This window comes from Homo sapiens, chromosome 9 (genome assembly GCF_000001405.40).
Source record: "Homo sapiens chromosome 9, GRCh38.p14 Primary Assembly".
NCBI lineage: Eukaryota > Metazoa > Chordata > Mammalia > Primates > Hominidae > Homo > Homo sapiens.
In genome coordinates this window covers 92,544,467-92,561,387 of record NC_000009.12, presented here as the reverse complement: position 1 = coordinate 92,561,387, position 16,921 = coordinate 92,544,467, and the positions used below count along the sequence as shown (strand labels likewise).

General features: G+C 42.2%; 2 protein-coding genes across 4 annotated transcripts in view, besides 1 other annotated feature; one reads left to right on the top strand and one right to left on the bottom strand.

Moving 5' to 3' along the window:
• The window catches only part of CENPP (centromere protein P), a 295,062-nt gene that overhangs the window by 59,142 nt on the left and 218,999 nt on the right, over positions 1-16,921 (bottom strand). The window lies entirely within an intron of this gene.
• Positions 2,175-3,374: an enhancer, noted in NCBI's record as "MED14-independent group 3 enhancer chr9:95320296-95321495 (GRCh37/hg19 assembly coordinates)". NCBI's record gives its function as "activates an origin of replication core promoter dependent on BRD2, BRD4, P300/CBP and CDK7 cofactors, and independent of MED14, by STARR-seq in HCT116 cells {active_cell/tissue: HCT116}" and the evidence as "EXISTENCE:reporter gene assay evidence [ECO:0000049][PMID:35650434]".
• Positions 2,282-16,921, top strand: part of ECM2 (extracellular matrix protein 2) — a 65,560-nt gene continuing 50,920 nt past the window's right edge. Inside the window, exon 1 of the mRNA XM_047422899.1 lies at positions 2,282-2,348. The gene's annotated coding sequence lies outside the window, so the exon portion shown is untranslated. The remainder of the gene's footprint in view (positions 2,349-16,921) is intronic.

Here is a 16,921-nt window from a genome sequence, read left to right as displayed (position 1 = left end):
AAGACCTAAAACCAATTGTTAGGTAAATCTTCCATTTCTGCAGTTCCATGAATTATCTACAATAAGGGATATTAAAGGAATAACAAGTTTGGGGGATTGCGGGAGGAACAGGGATGGTAGTTTGTCTTGTTCTTATAGATGTGCTGAGGCAGTGCTTGGGAGAAATCAAAGCCAAGGTGACCAAATGGAAGCTGGCAATTTAAGCTGTGTATGAAGCTCAGGAAAGAGCTCAGAACTTAAAACAGGTATGTAACTCATTAGCATATATTAAAGCAATGTGATTAATGGAGGTGCTAATTTATGCTTACTTAATGAATGAAGCAGATCATGAGGGAGAGCAAGAATGGTAAGAGAAGAGGGCCAGGAGGAAACTAGGTGAGTATCAACTTTAAGACATGGACAAAGGTCATGGTGGAGGGGAACCAGTAAGAGGTACTGAGAAAAAAAGTCAGAAAAGTAGAAGAGCAGATTGACTTCCAAGAATTGGGTAACCAATTTAAAAAAAAAAAAAAAAAAAAAGACAAGAAAAAGGAAGGCTGCATAGATAGGTTTGGAGCCACTGCGACTTTTGAGACTGCAGTTTTCTGAGAGCCATAAATGCGGAAGCAGAACGGTGGTAGAATAAGAATAAGGAATAAATGGAAGGTGAATACATGGAGGCATGTCCTGTAGATTACTTTTTAAAGAAATGGAGTAGAGAATGGGATGAAGGAATAAAAGCAGTTTGAGGACAGCCAAACAGGATGTAGGAAGATTATTTTTGGCTGATGGATGCTTAAGTAGGCTAAGAACAGATTAAGATTATATAAACTGCCATGCTCCTGATTCAAGGGTGCTGTCAGACAGGCTCCACTGTGACCCAACCTGGACATAGTCGCTGTCCACCACTGAACACTTGGGCTCTAATGTAATGCTAGATAGTTTAGTCTAATTAAGACTTTGCAATCAGCTTTGGGTCATGTCCAAAAGGATGGAAACTGGGGAGGTACGGGTTCATACCCAAGACTAGATGGCAAACTTCATGATGCAACACCAAGGGATTCGTGACTAAGTTTCTCATCCTTTAATGCTGATATATGATCTTTTGCTGTAATGGACAAGTTCATGATGATGCTTTCTTCAGTCATGATATGAGAACCTACTAGCCACTCACATGTTTATCTAGTTTGTTTTTTGTTTCTTCCAAACTAGACTATGACGGATTACGTTTTTCTGTTTTCTTGCATTTTGTTTCATTTCTTTTAGAGACAGGGTCTGGCTGTGTCACCCAGACTGGAGTGCAATGGTACAATCATAGCTCGCTGCAGCCTTGAACTCCTGGGCTCAAGTGATTGATCCTCCCACCTCAGCCTCCCAAGTAGCAGGGACTATAGTTATGTGCCACCTTGCCCAGCTAATTTCTAAATGTTTTGCAGAGATGGGGTCTTGCTTTGTTGCTCAAGCGATCCTTGTGCTTTGGCCTTCCAAAGTGCTGGGATTACAGGCATAAGCCATTGCACCAGGCCCAGACTGGTTTCCTTGATTTGTGTTACATCTAAGGTAGAGCTTCCCTTATTTCATCAGCAAAATACATTTAAAAACATAGGACAGCAGGCATGGTGGCTCATGCCTGTAATCCCAAAACTTTGGGAGGCTAAGGCAGGAGGATCTCTTGAGCCCAGGAGTTCGAGACCAGCCCTGGCAACATAGTGAGACCCCATCTCTATGAAAAAAAATTAAAAAAGAAAATTAAGAGATGGAGGGGATCATGGCAGACAGGAGGCAGGACTAGATTATAGCTCCAGAGAGACCATCATCTGGAGGCCTGCATTGTGAATTCTAGCTCCAGATCGACTGCAAGAATAAATTGGCAATCCCAAGAGGACCCACAGACCCTCTGAGGGAAATGGACTGCTCCTGCAGGACCTGGGAGGCACCCCAACTACTGTGAGTGCCCCAATTGCGGAAGTGGGAAAGGGAGACCCGTCTCTCCTAAACACACACCCCCACTGGAGAAGCTGAAGGTCTGTTTGCGGGAGAAGTTTCCGATTTTACCCGGAGCTGAGTCAAGTTAGAGAGCCCAGTGAAATACAGGGGTAGAGGAAGCAGCAGAAAAGCCCTGGGAGCTCGTTGGGTCCCCAAGCAGCCCATTCCTGCCTGACACCACAGGGATCCATCGGGAGGGCGGCCAGAGGAGCAGGGGTAAAACTCCACAGGGAGAATGAATTCTCTAGCCGAACTTTGTAACAATTTGAACGGGACAAGAAGCCTCCTGGCCAGAACTGGGGGAGGGCGCGAATCCAGTGTGCAGACTTCAGAGGCGGGGGAAGAGCCCTTTTCTTTGGCAGCTGGGAGGTGGACAGCCTCGGGTAAGTTTTCAAGCCCCTCTTGCCCTCTGCTTGGAAACAGACTTGGGGCTGTTGGGTGGCGGGGGAACTGCCCTTCAGTTTGCAGTTTGCGTGGGAACTGGGTGAGGCCTGTGACTGCCGGCTTTCCCCAACTTCCCTGACAACCTGCATGACTCAGCAGAGGAAGCCATAATCCTCCTAGGTATACAACTCCAGTGACCTGGGAATCTCACCCCATCCCCCACAGCAGCCGCAGCAAGACCCACCCAAGGAGAGCTCAAACACACCTAGCCCTGTCCCCACCTGATGGTCCTTTCCTATCCACCCTGGTAGCTGAAGACAAAGGGCCTATAGTCTTGGGAATTCTAGGACCCCGCCTACTGCTGGTCCCTTTCCACTCTACTACAGCTGATGCCTTCCAGGAAGCATCACCTCTTGACAGGAGGCCAACCAGCACAAAAATAGATAATTAAATCACCAAAGCTAAGGACCCTCATGGTGTCCATTGCACCCTCTGCCACCTCCACCAGAATAGGCACTGGTATCCACGGCTGAGAGACCCATAGATGGTTCACATCACAAGACTCTGTACAGACAACCCCAGTACCAGCCCAGAGCCGGGCAGACTCACTGGGTGGCTAGGCCCAGAAGAAAGACAATAATCACTGTAGTTTGGCTCACAGGAAGCCACATCCATAGGAAAAGGAGGAGAGTACTACATCAAGGGAACACCCCATGGGACAAAAGAATCTGAATAACAGCCTTCAGCCCTAGACCTTCCCTCTGATAGAACCTACCTAAATGAGAAGGAACCAGAAAACCAACCCTGGTAATATGACAAAACAAGGCTCTTCAGCATCCCCCAAAAATCACATTAGTTCACCAGCAATGGATCCAAACTAAGAAGAAATCTGTGATTTATCTGAAAAAGAATTCAGGAGCTTAGTTATTAAGCTAATCAGGGAGGGACCAGAGAAAGGCAAAGCCCAAAGCAAGGAAATCCAAAAAAATGATACAAGAAGTGAAGGGAGAAATATTCAATGAAATAGATAGCTTAAAGAAAAAAACAATAAAAAACTCAGGAAACTTTGGACACACTTTTAGAAATGCGAAATGCAGGCCAGGCGCGGTGGCTCACGCCTGTAATCCCAGCACTTTGGGAGGCCTAGGTGGGTGGATCACAAGGTCAGGAGATCGAGACCATCCTGGCCAACATGTTGAAATCCCGTCTCTACTAAAAAAATACAAAAATTAGTCGGGCGTGGTGGTGCATACTTGTAGTCCCAGCTACTCGAGAGGCTGAGGCAGGAGAATCACTTGAACCTGGGAGGCAGAGGTTGCAGTGAGACGAGATCGTGCCACTGCACTGCAGACTGGCGACAGAGCAAGACTCTGTCTCAAAACACAAACAAACAAAGAAATGCGAAATGCTCTGGAAAGTCTCAGCAATAGAACTGAACAAGTAGAAGAAAGAAATTCAGAGCTCAAAGACAAGGTCTTTGAATTAACCCAGTCCAACAAAGACAGAGAAAAAAGAATAAGAAAATAAGAACAAAGCCTCCAAGAAGTCTGGGATTATGTTAAACGACCAAACCTAAGAATAATTGGTGTTCCTGAGGAAGAAGAGAATTCTAAAAGCTTGAAAAACATATTTGGGGGAATAATTGAGGAAAACTTCCCCAGCCTAGCTAGAGAGCCAGACATCCAAATACAAGAAGCACAAAGAACACCTGGGAAATTCATCGCAAAATGATCTTTGCCTAGGCACACTGTCATCAGGTTATCCAAAGTTAAGATGAAGGAAAGAATCCTAAGAGCTGTGAGACAGAAGCACCAGGTAACCTACAAAGGAAAACCTATCAGATTAACAGCAGATTTCTCAGCAGAAACCCTATAAGCTAGAAGGGATTGGGACCCTACTCCTCAAACAAAACAATTATCAGCCAATAATTTTGTATTCAGCGAAACTCAGCATCATGTGAAGGAAAGATATAGTCGTTTTCAGACAAACAAATGCTGAGAGAATTCGCCACTACTAAGCCACCACTACAAGAACTGCTAAAAGAAACTCTAAATCTTGAAACAAATCCTGGAAATACATGACAATAGAACCTCTTTAAAGCATAAATCACACAGGACCTATAAAACAAAAATACAAGCTAAAAAGCAAAAGCAAAAAACAAAAAAACCCACAAAGTACACAGGCAACAAAGAGCAGGATGGATGCAACTGTAAATGGCCTAAGTGCTCCACTTAAAAGATACACAACAGCAGAGTAGATAAGGACTCACTAACCAACTATCCGCTGCCTTCAGGAGACTCACTTAACACATAAGGACTCACATACACTTAAAGTAAAGGGGTAGAAAAAGGCATTTCATGCAAATAGACACCAAAAGTGAGCAGGGGTAGCTATTCTTATATCAGACAAAACAAACTTTAAAGCAATAGCAGTTAAAAGAGACAAGGAGGGACATTATATAATGGTAAAAGGCCTTGTCCAACAGGAAAATATCACAATTCTAAACATATTTGCACCTAACACTGGTGCTCCCAAATTTATAAAACAATTATTAATAGACCTAAGAAATGAGACAGACAGCAACACAATAATAGTGGGGAATTTCCATACTTGTTACAATACCTTGGAACAAATGGATTAACAGATATATATACAGAACATTTCACCCAACAACTGCAGAATACACATTCTATTCAAGAGCACATGGAACTTTCTCCAAGATAGACCATATGATAGGCCATAAAATGAGTCTCAATAAATTTAAAAAAATTGAAATTATATCCAACACTCTCTCAGACCACAGTGGAATAAAACTGGAAATCAATTCCAAAAGGAAACTTCAAAACCATGTAAATACATGGAAATTAAATAACCTGCTCCTGAATGAGCATTAGGTCAAAAATGAAATCAAGATGGAAATTAAAAAATTATTTGAACCAGATGACAATAATGACACAACCTATCAAACCTCTGGGATATAGCAAAGTGGTGCTAAGAGGAAAGTTCATAGCCCTAAACGCCCACATCAAAAAGTCTGAAAGAGCACAGACAATCTAAGGTCACAACTCAAGGAACTAGAGAAACAAGAACAAACGAAACACAGACCCAGCAGAAGAAAGGAAATAACCAAGATTAGAGCAGAATTAAATGAAATTGAAACAACAACAAAAAAATACAAATGATAAATGAAACAAAAATCTGCTTCTTTGAAAAGATAAATAAAATTGATAGACCATTAGCAAGATTAATGATGAAAAGAAGAGAGAAAATCCAAATAACTTCACTAAGAAACAAAACAGGAGATATTACAACTGACACCACTGAAATACAAAAGATCATTCAAGGCTACTATGAACACCTATACACACATACAATAGAAAACCTAGAAGAGATGAATAAGTTCCTGGAAAAATACAATCTTCCTAGCTTGTAAATAAATCAGGAAGAATTAGATAACCTGAACAGACCAATAACAAACAGCAAGACTGAAATAGTAATTAAAAAATTACTGGCCAGGCGCAGTGGTTCATACCTGTAATCCCAGCACTTTGGGAGGCTGAGACGGGTGGATCACCTGAGTTCAGGAGTTCGAGAACAGCCTGGCTAACATGGTGAAATCCCGTTTCTACTGAAAATACAAAAAAATCAGCCAGACATGGTGGTATGCATCTGTAATCCCAGCTACTCGGGAGGTTGAGGCAGGAGAATCGCTTGAACCTGGGAGGCAGAGGTGTGGTGAGCTGAGATCACGCCATTGTACTCCAGCTTGGACAACAAGAGCGAAACTCCATCTAAAAAAAAAAAAAAAAAAAAAAAAAAAAAAATTTCCAAAAAAAAGTCCAAGACCAGACGGATTCACAGCAGAATTCTACCAGACATTCAAAGAAGAATTGATACCAATCGTTTTGACACTATTCTGTAAGATAGAGAAAGAAGGAACCCTCCCTAACTCATTCTATGAAGCCAGCATCACCTTAATACCAAAACCAGGAAAGGACACAACAACAACAACAACAACAACAACAACAACAACAAACAATACAGACCGATATCCTTGATGGACATAGATACTAAAATCCATAACAAAATACTAGCTAACTGAAGGCCAGGCGCAGTGGCTCATGCCTGTAATCTCAGCACTTTGGGAGGCCGAGGCGGATGGATCACGAGGTCAGGAGTTCGAGACCAGCCTGGCCAACATGGTGAAACCCCATTTCTACTAAAAAACCAAAAATAAGCCGGGCGCAGTGGCAGGCGCCTGTAGTCTCAGCTATTTGGGAGGCTGAGGCAGGAAACTTGCTTGAAGCCGGGCAGCGGAGGTTGCAGTAAACCGAGATTGTGCCACTGCACTCCAGCCTGGGTGACAGATCAAGACTCCATCTCGGAAAAAACAAAACAAAACAAAAAAGCACAAAGTACTAGCTAATAGAATCCAACAACATATCAAAAAGATAATCCACCATGATCAAGTGGGTTTCATACCAGGGATGCAGGGATGGTTTAACATATGCAGGTCAATAAACGTGATACACCACATAAGCAGAATTAAAGGTAAAAGCAGGGCGCAGTGGCTCACGCCTGTAATCCCAGCACTTTGGGAGGGTGATGCGGGTGGATCACCTGAGGTCAGGAGTTCAAGACCAGCCTGACCAAAATGGTGAAACCCCATCTTTACCAAATACAAAAAATTAGCTGGGAGTGGTGGCACGTGCCTGTAATCCCAGCTACTGGGGAAGCTGAGGCAGGAGAATCACTTGAACCTGGGAGGCAGAGGTTGCAGTGAGCCAAGATTGTGCCATTGCACTCCAGCCTGGGCAATAAGAGCGAAACTCCGTCTCAAAAAAAAAAAAGAATTAAAAACAAAAATCACATGATAATCTTAATAGATGCAGAATAAACATTCAACAAAATCCAGCATCGCTTTACGATTAAAACTCTCAACAAAATCGGCACACAAGGGAAATACCTTAATGTAATAAAAGCCATCTACGACAAACCCACAGCCAACATAATACTGAATGGGGAAAAGTTGAAAGCATTCTGAGAACTGGAATGAGACAAGGATGCCCACTCTCACTACTCCTCTTCAACACAGTACTGGAAGTCCTAGCCAGAGCAATCAGGCAAGAGAAATAAAGGGCATCCAAATCAGTAAAGAGAAAGTCAAACTGTCACTGTTTGCTGACAATATGATCGTTTACCTTGAAAACCCTAAGGACTCCTCCAGAAAGCTCCTAGAACTGATCAAAGAATTTAGCAAAGTTTCCAGAAACAAGATTAATGTATACAAATCAGTAGCTCTTCTATACACTAACAGGGACCAGGTGGAGAATTAAATCAAGAACTCAATCCCTTTTACAATAACTGCAAAAATAAATAAATAAATAAAATATTTAGGAATATACCTAACCAAGGAGTCGAAAGACCTCTACAAGGAAAACTACAAAACACTGCTGAAAGAAATCATAGATGACACAAAGAAATGGAAACACATCCCATGCTCATGGATGGGTAGAATCAATATTGTGGAAATGATCATACTGCCAAAAGCAATCTACAAATTCAACGCAATCCCCACCAAAATACCACCATCCTTTTTCACAGAATTAGAAAAAACAATTCTAAAATTCATATGTAACCAAAAAAGAGCCCGCATAGCCAAAGCAAGACTAAGCAAAAAGAACAAATCTGGAGACATCACACAACCTAATTTCAAACTATAAGGCCACAGTCACCAAAACAGCATAATACTGGTATAAAAATAGGCATATAGACCAATGGAACAGAATAGACAACCCAGAAATAAACCCAAATACTTACAGCCAACTGATCTTCGACAAAGCAAACAAAAACATAAAGTGGGGAAAGGACAACCTTTTCAACAAATGGTGCTGAGATAATTGGCTAGCCACGTGTAGGAGAATAAAACTGGATCATCATCTCTCATTTTATACAAAAATCAACTCAAGATGGATTAAAGACTTAAACCTAAGACGTGAAACTATAAAAATTCTAGAAGATAACATTGGGAAAACCCTTCTAGACATTGGCTTAAAAAAAAGAAAAATAATAAAAAGAAAAAGAAAAAAAAGAGGAAAAAATAAAATAAATAAATAGACATTGGCCTAGGCAAGGATTTCATGACCAAGAACCCAAAAGCAAATGCAATAAAAACAAAGATCAATAGCTGGGACCTAATTAAAGAGCTTTTGCACGGCAAAAGGAACAGTCAGCAGAGTAAACAGACAACCCACAGAGTGGGAGAAAATCCTCACAATCTATACATCTGACAAAGCACTAATAACCAGAATCTACAACGAACTCAAACAAATCAGTAAGAAAAAAACAATCCTATCAAAAAGTGGGCTAATGACACGAATAGACAATTTTCAAAAGAAGATACACAAATGGCCAACAAACATATGAAAAAACGCTCAACATCACTAATAATCAGAGAAATGCAAATCAAAACCACAATGTGATACCACCTTACTCCTACAAGAATGGCCATAATAAAAAAATCAAAAAACAGTAGATGTTGGCATGGATGCGGTGAACAGGGAACACTTCTACACTGCTGGTGGGAATGAAAACTAGTACAGCCACTATGGGAAACAGTGTAGAGATTCCTTAAAGAACTAAAAGTAGAACCACCAGTTGATCCAGCAGTCCCACTACTGGGTATCTACCCAGAGGAAAATAAATCATTATTCGAAAAAGATACTTAGACATGCATGTTTATAGCAGCACAATTCACAGTTGCAAAATCATGGAACCAACCCAAATGCCCATCAATCAACAAGTGGATAAAGAAACTGTGGGGTGTGTGTGTGTGTGTGTGTGTGTGTATATGATAGATCTATCATATCACATATATATGATAGATCTATCATATCACATATATATGATAGATCTATCATATCACATATATATGATAGATCTATCATATCACATATATGATAGATCTATCATATCACATATATGATAGACCTATAATATCACATATATGATAGATCTATCATATCATATATATACACATATATATCACATATATACACACACATATATATCACACATATATATATCATATATATATATATATATATATATATACACACACACCATATATATAACAAATGCTGTTAACTCATTCCTTTTTATGGCTCCATAGTATTCCATTATATATATATACACACACCATGGATGACCTGGATGAGATTGGAGACTATTATTCTAAGTGAAGTTACTCAGGAATGGAAAACCAAACATCGAATGTTCTCACTGATATGTGGGAGCTAAGCTATGAGGACGCAAGGGCATAAGAATGATACAATGGACTTTGGGGACTTGAAGGGAAGAGTGGGAGTGGGGTGAGGGATAAAAGACAACAAATAGGGTGCAGTGTATACTGCTTGGGTGATGGGTACACCAAAATCTCACAAATCACCACTAAACAACTTACTCATGTAACCAAATACCATCTGTACCCCAATAACTTATGGAAAAATAAAACAATAAAATAAAATAAAATAAATTAGCCAGGTGTGGTGGTATGTGCCCGTAGTCCCAGACATTTGACAGGCTAAGGTGGGAGGATTGTTTGAGCCTGGGAGGTTGAAGCTACAGTAAGCCATGGTTGTGCCACTACAGTCCAGCTTGGGTGACAGAGCAAGACCCTATCTCAAAAAACAAAAAGCATCAGACGTCATTTTGGGGAAGTATGCTATATCACAATAAGACTTCTATACTTAACTCCTTACTATATAACAGTACTATATATTTCTCACCCAAATTTTCTTGCCTGAAACTGTGGCTTCCACTCATGATAATTCCTGGCTTCCAATCCCAGCGTCACACTTAAACCTGGACAAGAGGGGTTTGTGACATGGGCTCCGCTTGGCCACTAAGCAAGATGTCTATGTGCTCTCCCACAGCCACCTCCCCAGGAAATGCTCTGAGTATCTGGTAGCCTGGAATTCTCTGCCCAAATAACTTTGTTTCCAGGGCTTATGCATTCCTCTTCCCTGGCTCTATCACCCTGAAGACAGACCACACTGCTAGTGCAAGCAACCCCAGGGCCAGAGGGTAGCTGCTCATATGGAGCTGGGGAAAGAGCCCTGAGGCATAAGTAGGTCATGGCATAGGGTAGAAAAGTGTGGCGGGCTGTGTACTGGCTCCTTCCTGAGCCACCATGTTTTGGTGTCAGTGAATCCTGAGGAGTTCAGGATTCTAAATTGGAACCTGGCTTTCCAGGTTGTTATGAAGGACACATTTCAAGATAAGAGAATCAAACATAATTTATTTAACTGCTTGCTGGCTTAAGGTGTAACTTTTACACATTTAGAATATCATATGTGAAACTTCATTTGTACTCTTGCCTCAACCCTTACATCCCTTTACATGCATAACTATCTAGAAATACTTCCAGCCTCCTGGACTGAATATTACTACAGCAGGACAGGAAATCAAACAAAGTCTAAACAAAAAAAAAACAGGTCTAAGAAAACTTGTTATATCAATTGTCATATCTTACAGTTTATTTTAATTCTCAAAAACAAAAGAAACTGAACTATTTCATTAGATTATTCCCTCTTACGAAGACTTCAGCACCCAGCATCCTCCAATGACACCATTTTTTTTTTTGAGACAGAGTCTCACTCTGTCACCCAGGCTGGAGTGCAATGGCACGATCTCGGCTCACTGCAACCTCTACCTCCTGGGTTCAAGTGACTCTCCTGCCTTAGCCTCCCAAGTAGCTAGGACTACAGGCACGCACCACCACACCCAGCTAATTTTGTGTATTTTAGTAGAGACGGGGTTTCGCCATGTTGGCCAGGATGGTCTCGATCTCCTGACCTCGTGATCCTCCTGCCTCAGCCTCCCAAAGTGCTAGGATTGTAGGCGTGAGCCACCACGCCCGGCCCAATGACACCATTTGTTCAAATGAGTTTGTTTCCACTTCTAGACTGAATGCAGGGGAATCCATCAATGTGTCCTGTCTCTGTTATCATGCTGAGTACAGAGATTCAGTGTCTGTTTTAGTTACCTGCGACTTCAAGGGAAGGCTCCAGACTCTAGTGGCTTGGTGGAACTATGGATGGAAGAACCAGACCCAGAACCCAGCCTCTAACTGTACTGTACTTTGTCCACATTGGCCATTATTACTAAGCCTGGCTCCTGAACAAACTTTGCTCAGGGAGTAAGAGAACTGCTCAGAGACAGAACGTACATCTATGTTCTCCACTGCCTAACAGCACTATCTTAGGGAGGCAGATCAAAGAAGCACAGATGCTATTGATAAAATGATATCTAATCCGGTGTCTGGGAAATTCCTTTGGCAAAATTCTCAATAGAATGTCATCTAGTTTTGTTTTGTTTTGTTTTTTTTTTTTGAGACGGAGTCATGCTCTCCCACTCAGGCTGGAGTGCAGTGGCGCGATCTTGGCTCACTGTAACCTTTGCCTCCCAGGTTCAAGTGATTGTCCTGCCTCAGCCTCCCGAGTGGCTGGGACTACAGGCGTGTGCCACAACGCCCAGCTAATTTTTGTATTTTTAGTACAGACGGTGTTTCACCACATTGGCCAGGCTGGTCTCGAACTCCTAACCTCAAGTGATCCACCCGTCTCGGCCTCCCAAAGTGCTGGAATTACAGGCTTGAGCCACTGGGCCAGCTTCATCTAGTTTTCACTCAAATCATTCTTGTCCTGTGCCCCTGGAACCTCATCAAGTAGCTCAGCTGGACAGTTTTGGTTATGAGAAAGTGTGTTCTTTTTCTAATTAAGTCCAAATCGGCCTGCTTGTAGTTTCTGTCCATTGATTCTAGTTCTGGTCTCTGGAGCACAACAGAACAAGTCCATAGCCCATTTTCCTATGAGTGGGTCTGTTTGGTCTCTTCTGTCTCCCTCCGCAGTTCCTTGAAACCGTCCACGTGAGAAAATCAAGTAGCTACATGTGATGAGTATTTTGCTGTCTTTCTGTGCCACTGTCCATTGTTTATCCTTCTATCACTACCAAACTGCCTTAATTACTGTAGCTTGTTTATAATCAGTGTTGATATTTGGGATAGAAAGTCTTATAGCCTTGTTCTTCTTCAGGAATGTCTTGGCTTTTCTTTGGCCTTTACATTTCCCTATAGAGTTTAGAATTTGTCAAGTTCTAGATAACACACACACACACACACAAAAGTGAACTGCTAGGATTTTGATTTGAATTTCATCAACTCTAAGATCAGTGTAAGAACAAATGTTATCTTTGCAACACTGAATGTTCCACTCCCTGAGTATGGTATCTCCCAATACCCATAAGCTTTAACTTCTCTCAAAATTTTATAATTTTCTCTGAGGATATCTTGCCTATTTTTTGTTACTTCATTCTTAACTACTTGATATATTTTAAATATACTTGATATTTACATATCTTTTCCTTAACTTCATTATCTCACTGTATAAAGACAATTATTTTTTAATTTCTAGGCAGTATAACTTGTTTTTATTAAAATATATTTCCAATCTGATAGTTGATGTACTACATTTGTGTTGTAGAAAAGTTTTGCCCAACATTAGTGATCATATGCAGTAATAAAATCTTTAATATCCTGGCAAGTATGGGGTGGACAACCCCCTAATTGGGACTCTCACATTTCAGGTATCCTTTTGTTCCCTTTGCTGAGCTGAAATAATGGTTTTGTCTTAATCCTAATGAATTTGACAGCATCAATTTTCACATTAATTTACTGTCTGATCTTCTTTGAAGTAGAGCTCCATTGAGCAGAGAAAGTACCAGCAAGAGAGCTTTCATGATGCCACAGCAGTGAAAGACCCCACAAAGCAGAACCATCAGCATGGTGGATTACACAGGAGCAAGGGAGGATCATGAGCCTTCCTAGTGACACACATGCAGCAGCAATCTGGACCTCAGGGATGCCAAACCACTATTTATTTTTATATATTAATTGTGTGTCTGGAAAACTCTAAAGATAATTTTAGTAATTTATCTGAAAATTCTTTTGGATTTTTTACATACATATCCACATAATCTGGGAATAGTAACAGTTTTTCCTTCCTTTACTTCTTTTTTCCCATAAGAAAATGAAGGAAAAACTGTTTCTCTTCTTTTTCTTGCTTTACCACACTGGCCAGGGCCTTCAGTGGGCATCACTGTTTTGTTCCCAGAAAGGGAAAACTGTCAGTATTTCACCATTTAAAAAAATAACAGCTATCTCGAGATATAATTTACGTACCATAAAACGCATACTTTAAAATATACAATTCCATGGTTTTTAGTATATTCCTAGTTAGGGCCATCACTACTATTTTTAGAACATTTTAGTCACTCCATAAAGAAACCCTGTACCCATTAACAGTCATTCCCTATCTTCTTACCCCCTTCATTTCAGGCAACCACTAATGTACTTTCTCAATGGATTCGTCTATTTTGGACATTTCATACGAATGAAATCATTCAATATGTGGTCTTTTGTGACTGGCTTCTTTTACTGCACGTAATGTTTTTGAGGTTCATCCATGTGGTGACACTTTCAGCATGTGTCAGTATGACATTCCTTTTTATTACCAAATAATATTCCCTTGTATGGCTATGCAGCATTTTGTACATTCATTCAACAGTTGACAAACATTTAGGCTGTTTCTAAATTTTAGCTGTTATGAATAGTGTAGCAATGAACAATTGTCCTCAAGTTTTCATGTGGACATATGTGTTTTCAGTTCTCTTGGGGATACAGCTAGTAGTTGAAGCATGTTGTTTTCTTGTAGATAATCTGTCAGACTAAAGATGTTCCCTTATATTCCTACTATGGTAAACATTTGCTTTCTTTATTCTTTTTAAAACACTAATGGCTGTTGAATTTTATCAAAAATTTTTTTTGCATCTATTAAGATGATCACAAAGTGTTTGGACTGTTACACTTACGCCGCTAGTTCTTGAATAAACCCAGTATAATCATAATATATTATTTATATATTGTTGGATTTGGTCTGCTAATATATACGTATTTTAAAATCTATGTTCATTAGTGAGACTGACCTGCAAAATTTTCCTTCTGACGTCCCTGTCAGTTTGTAATATAGTTATGCTGGTCTTAAAAAACTGGTAGAACTCGTGAAGAATATAGAGACCTGTGGTATCTCTTGTGGGAAGATTTGAAATTATGAACTCAATATCCTCAATAGTTATAGACAATTTAGATTTTCTGATTCTTCTTGTGACAATTTTATTGTTTTTTTAAAGAAATTATTCATGTAATCTAAATATATCAATTTACTAGCATAAAATTGTTCATAGTATTGTGTGCAGAACTGCTGGGTTCTTGGTCTCACTGACTTCAAGAATGAAGCCGCGGACCCTCACGGTGAGTGTTACAGTTCTTAAAGGCAGCGTGTCCAGAGTTTGTTCCTTCTGGTGTTCCAGTGTGTTCGGAGTTTTTTCCTTCTGGTGGGTTCGTGGTCTCGCTGGCTCAGGAGTGAAGCTGCAGACCTTGGCGTTGACTATTACAGCTCTTAAGGCGGTGCGTCTGGAGTTGTTCTTTTCTCCCAGTGGGTTCGTGGACTCGCTGGCTTCAGGAGCGAAGCTGCAGATCTTCCCCCATGAGTGTTACAGCTCATAAAGTCAGCGTGGACCCAAAGAGTGAGCAGCAGCAAGATTTATTGCAAAGAGCAAAAGAACAAAGCTTCCACACAGTGGAAGGGGACCTCTGGTGGGTTGTCAGGGCTAGCTTGGGCAGCCTGCTTTTATTGCCTTATCTGGCCCCACCCACATCCTGCTGATTGGTCCATTTTACAGAGAGCTGATTGGTCTGTTTTACAGAGAGCTGATTGGTCCGTTTTGACAGGGTACTGACTGGTGCGTTTACAATCGCTGAGCTAGACACAGAAGTTCTCCAAGTCCCCACTAGATTAGCTAGACACAGAGCACTGATTGGTGCATTCACAAACCCTGAGCTAGACACAGGGTGCTGATTGGTGCATTTGCAAACCCTGAGCTAGACACAGAGTGCTGATTGGTGCATTCACAATCCCTGAGCTAGACACAAGGTGCTGACTGGTGCATTTACAAACCCTGAGCTAGACAGAGTGCTGATTGGTGCATTCACAATCCCTTAGCTAGACATAAAGGTTCTCCAAGTCCCCACCAGATCAGCTAGACACAGAACACTGATTGGTGCATTTACCAAACCTTGAGCTAGACACAGTGTGCTGATTGGTGCATTTACAAACCTTGAGCTAGACACGGAGTGCTGACTGGTATATCTACAATCCCTTAGCTAGACATAAAGGTTCTCCAAATCCCCACTAGACTCAAGAGCCCAGCTGGATGAGCCCAGCTGGATTCACCCAGTGGATCCCGCACCAGGCTGCAGGTGGAGCTGGCTGCCAGTCCCGCGCCCTGTGCCCGCACTCCTCAGCCCTTGGGCGGTCAGTGGGACTGGACGCGGTGGAGCAGGGGGCAGAGCTCGTCGGGGAGGCTCGGGCCTTGAAGGGGCCCGGCGGGGCGGGAGGCTCAGTCTTGGCGGGCTGCAGGTCCGGAGCCCTGCCCCGCGGGGAGGCAGCTAAGGCCCGACGAGAAATCAAGCACAGCGCCGGTGGGCCGGCACTGCTGGGGTACCCGACGCACCCTCCGCAGCTGCTGGCCGGGGTGCTAAGTCCCTCACTGCCCGCTCCCAGTACGGGGCCCGCCAAGCCCACGCCCACCCAGAACTCTAGCTGGCCTGCAAGTGCCACACGCAGCCCTGGTTCCCGCCCGTACCTCTCTCTCCACACCTCCCCTAAACCTGAGCGGCTCCGGCCTCGGCCATCCCAGGTCCGAGCCGGCTCCGGCCTCGGCCATCCCAGGAAGGAGCTCCCACAGCACAGCGTGGGCTGAAGGACTCCTCAAGCACGGCCAGAGTGGGCGCTGAGGCTGAGGAGGTGCCAAGAGCGAGCGAGGGCTGCGAGGGCTGCCAGCAGGCTGTCACCTCTTAAGATTTTCTTACTGTCTTTTAAATGCTTTAAGAATTTGTAAGATGGGCGTGGTTGCTCACACCGGTAATCCCAGCACTCTGGAGCGGGCTGAGGCGGGTGGATCACCTGAGGTCAGGAGTTTTGAGACCAGCCTGACCAACATGGTGAAACCACGTCTCCACTAAAAATACAAAAAAAAATTTAGCTGGGTGTGGTGGCATGCGCCTGTACTCCCAGCTACTGGGGAGGCTGAGGCAGGAGAATTGCTTGAACCCGAGAGGCGGAGGTTGCAGTGAGCTGAGATCGCGCCACTGCACATCAGCCTGAGCAACAACAGCGAAACTCCAACTCAAAAAAAAAAAAAAAAAAAATTTATAGTGATAACAATTTCTCTGGTCCTCACATTGGTGAGCCACGCTTTCTCCCTTTTTTCATGCATCAGTCTTGCCACAGCTTTTACTAGTTTTGTTTTTTAAAGAACAACTTTGGAATGTAGAATATTTGACAAAATTCAACACCCTCTCATGATAAAAAAAAAAACCCCTCAACAAATTAACTATAGAAAGAATGTACCTCAACATAAATAAAGACCATTTATTTATTTTTTTGAGACGGAG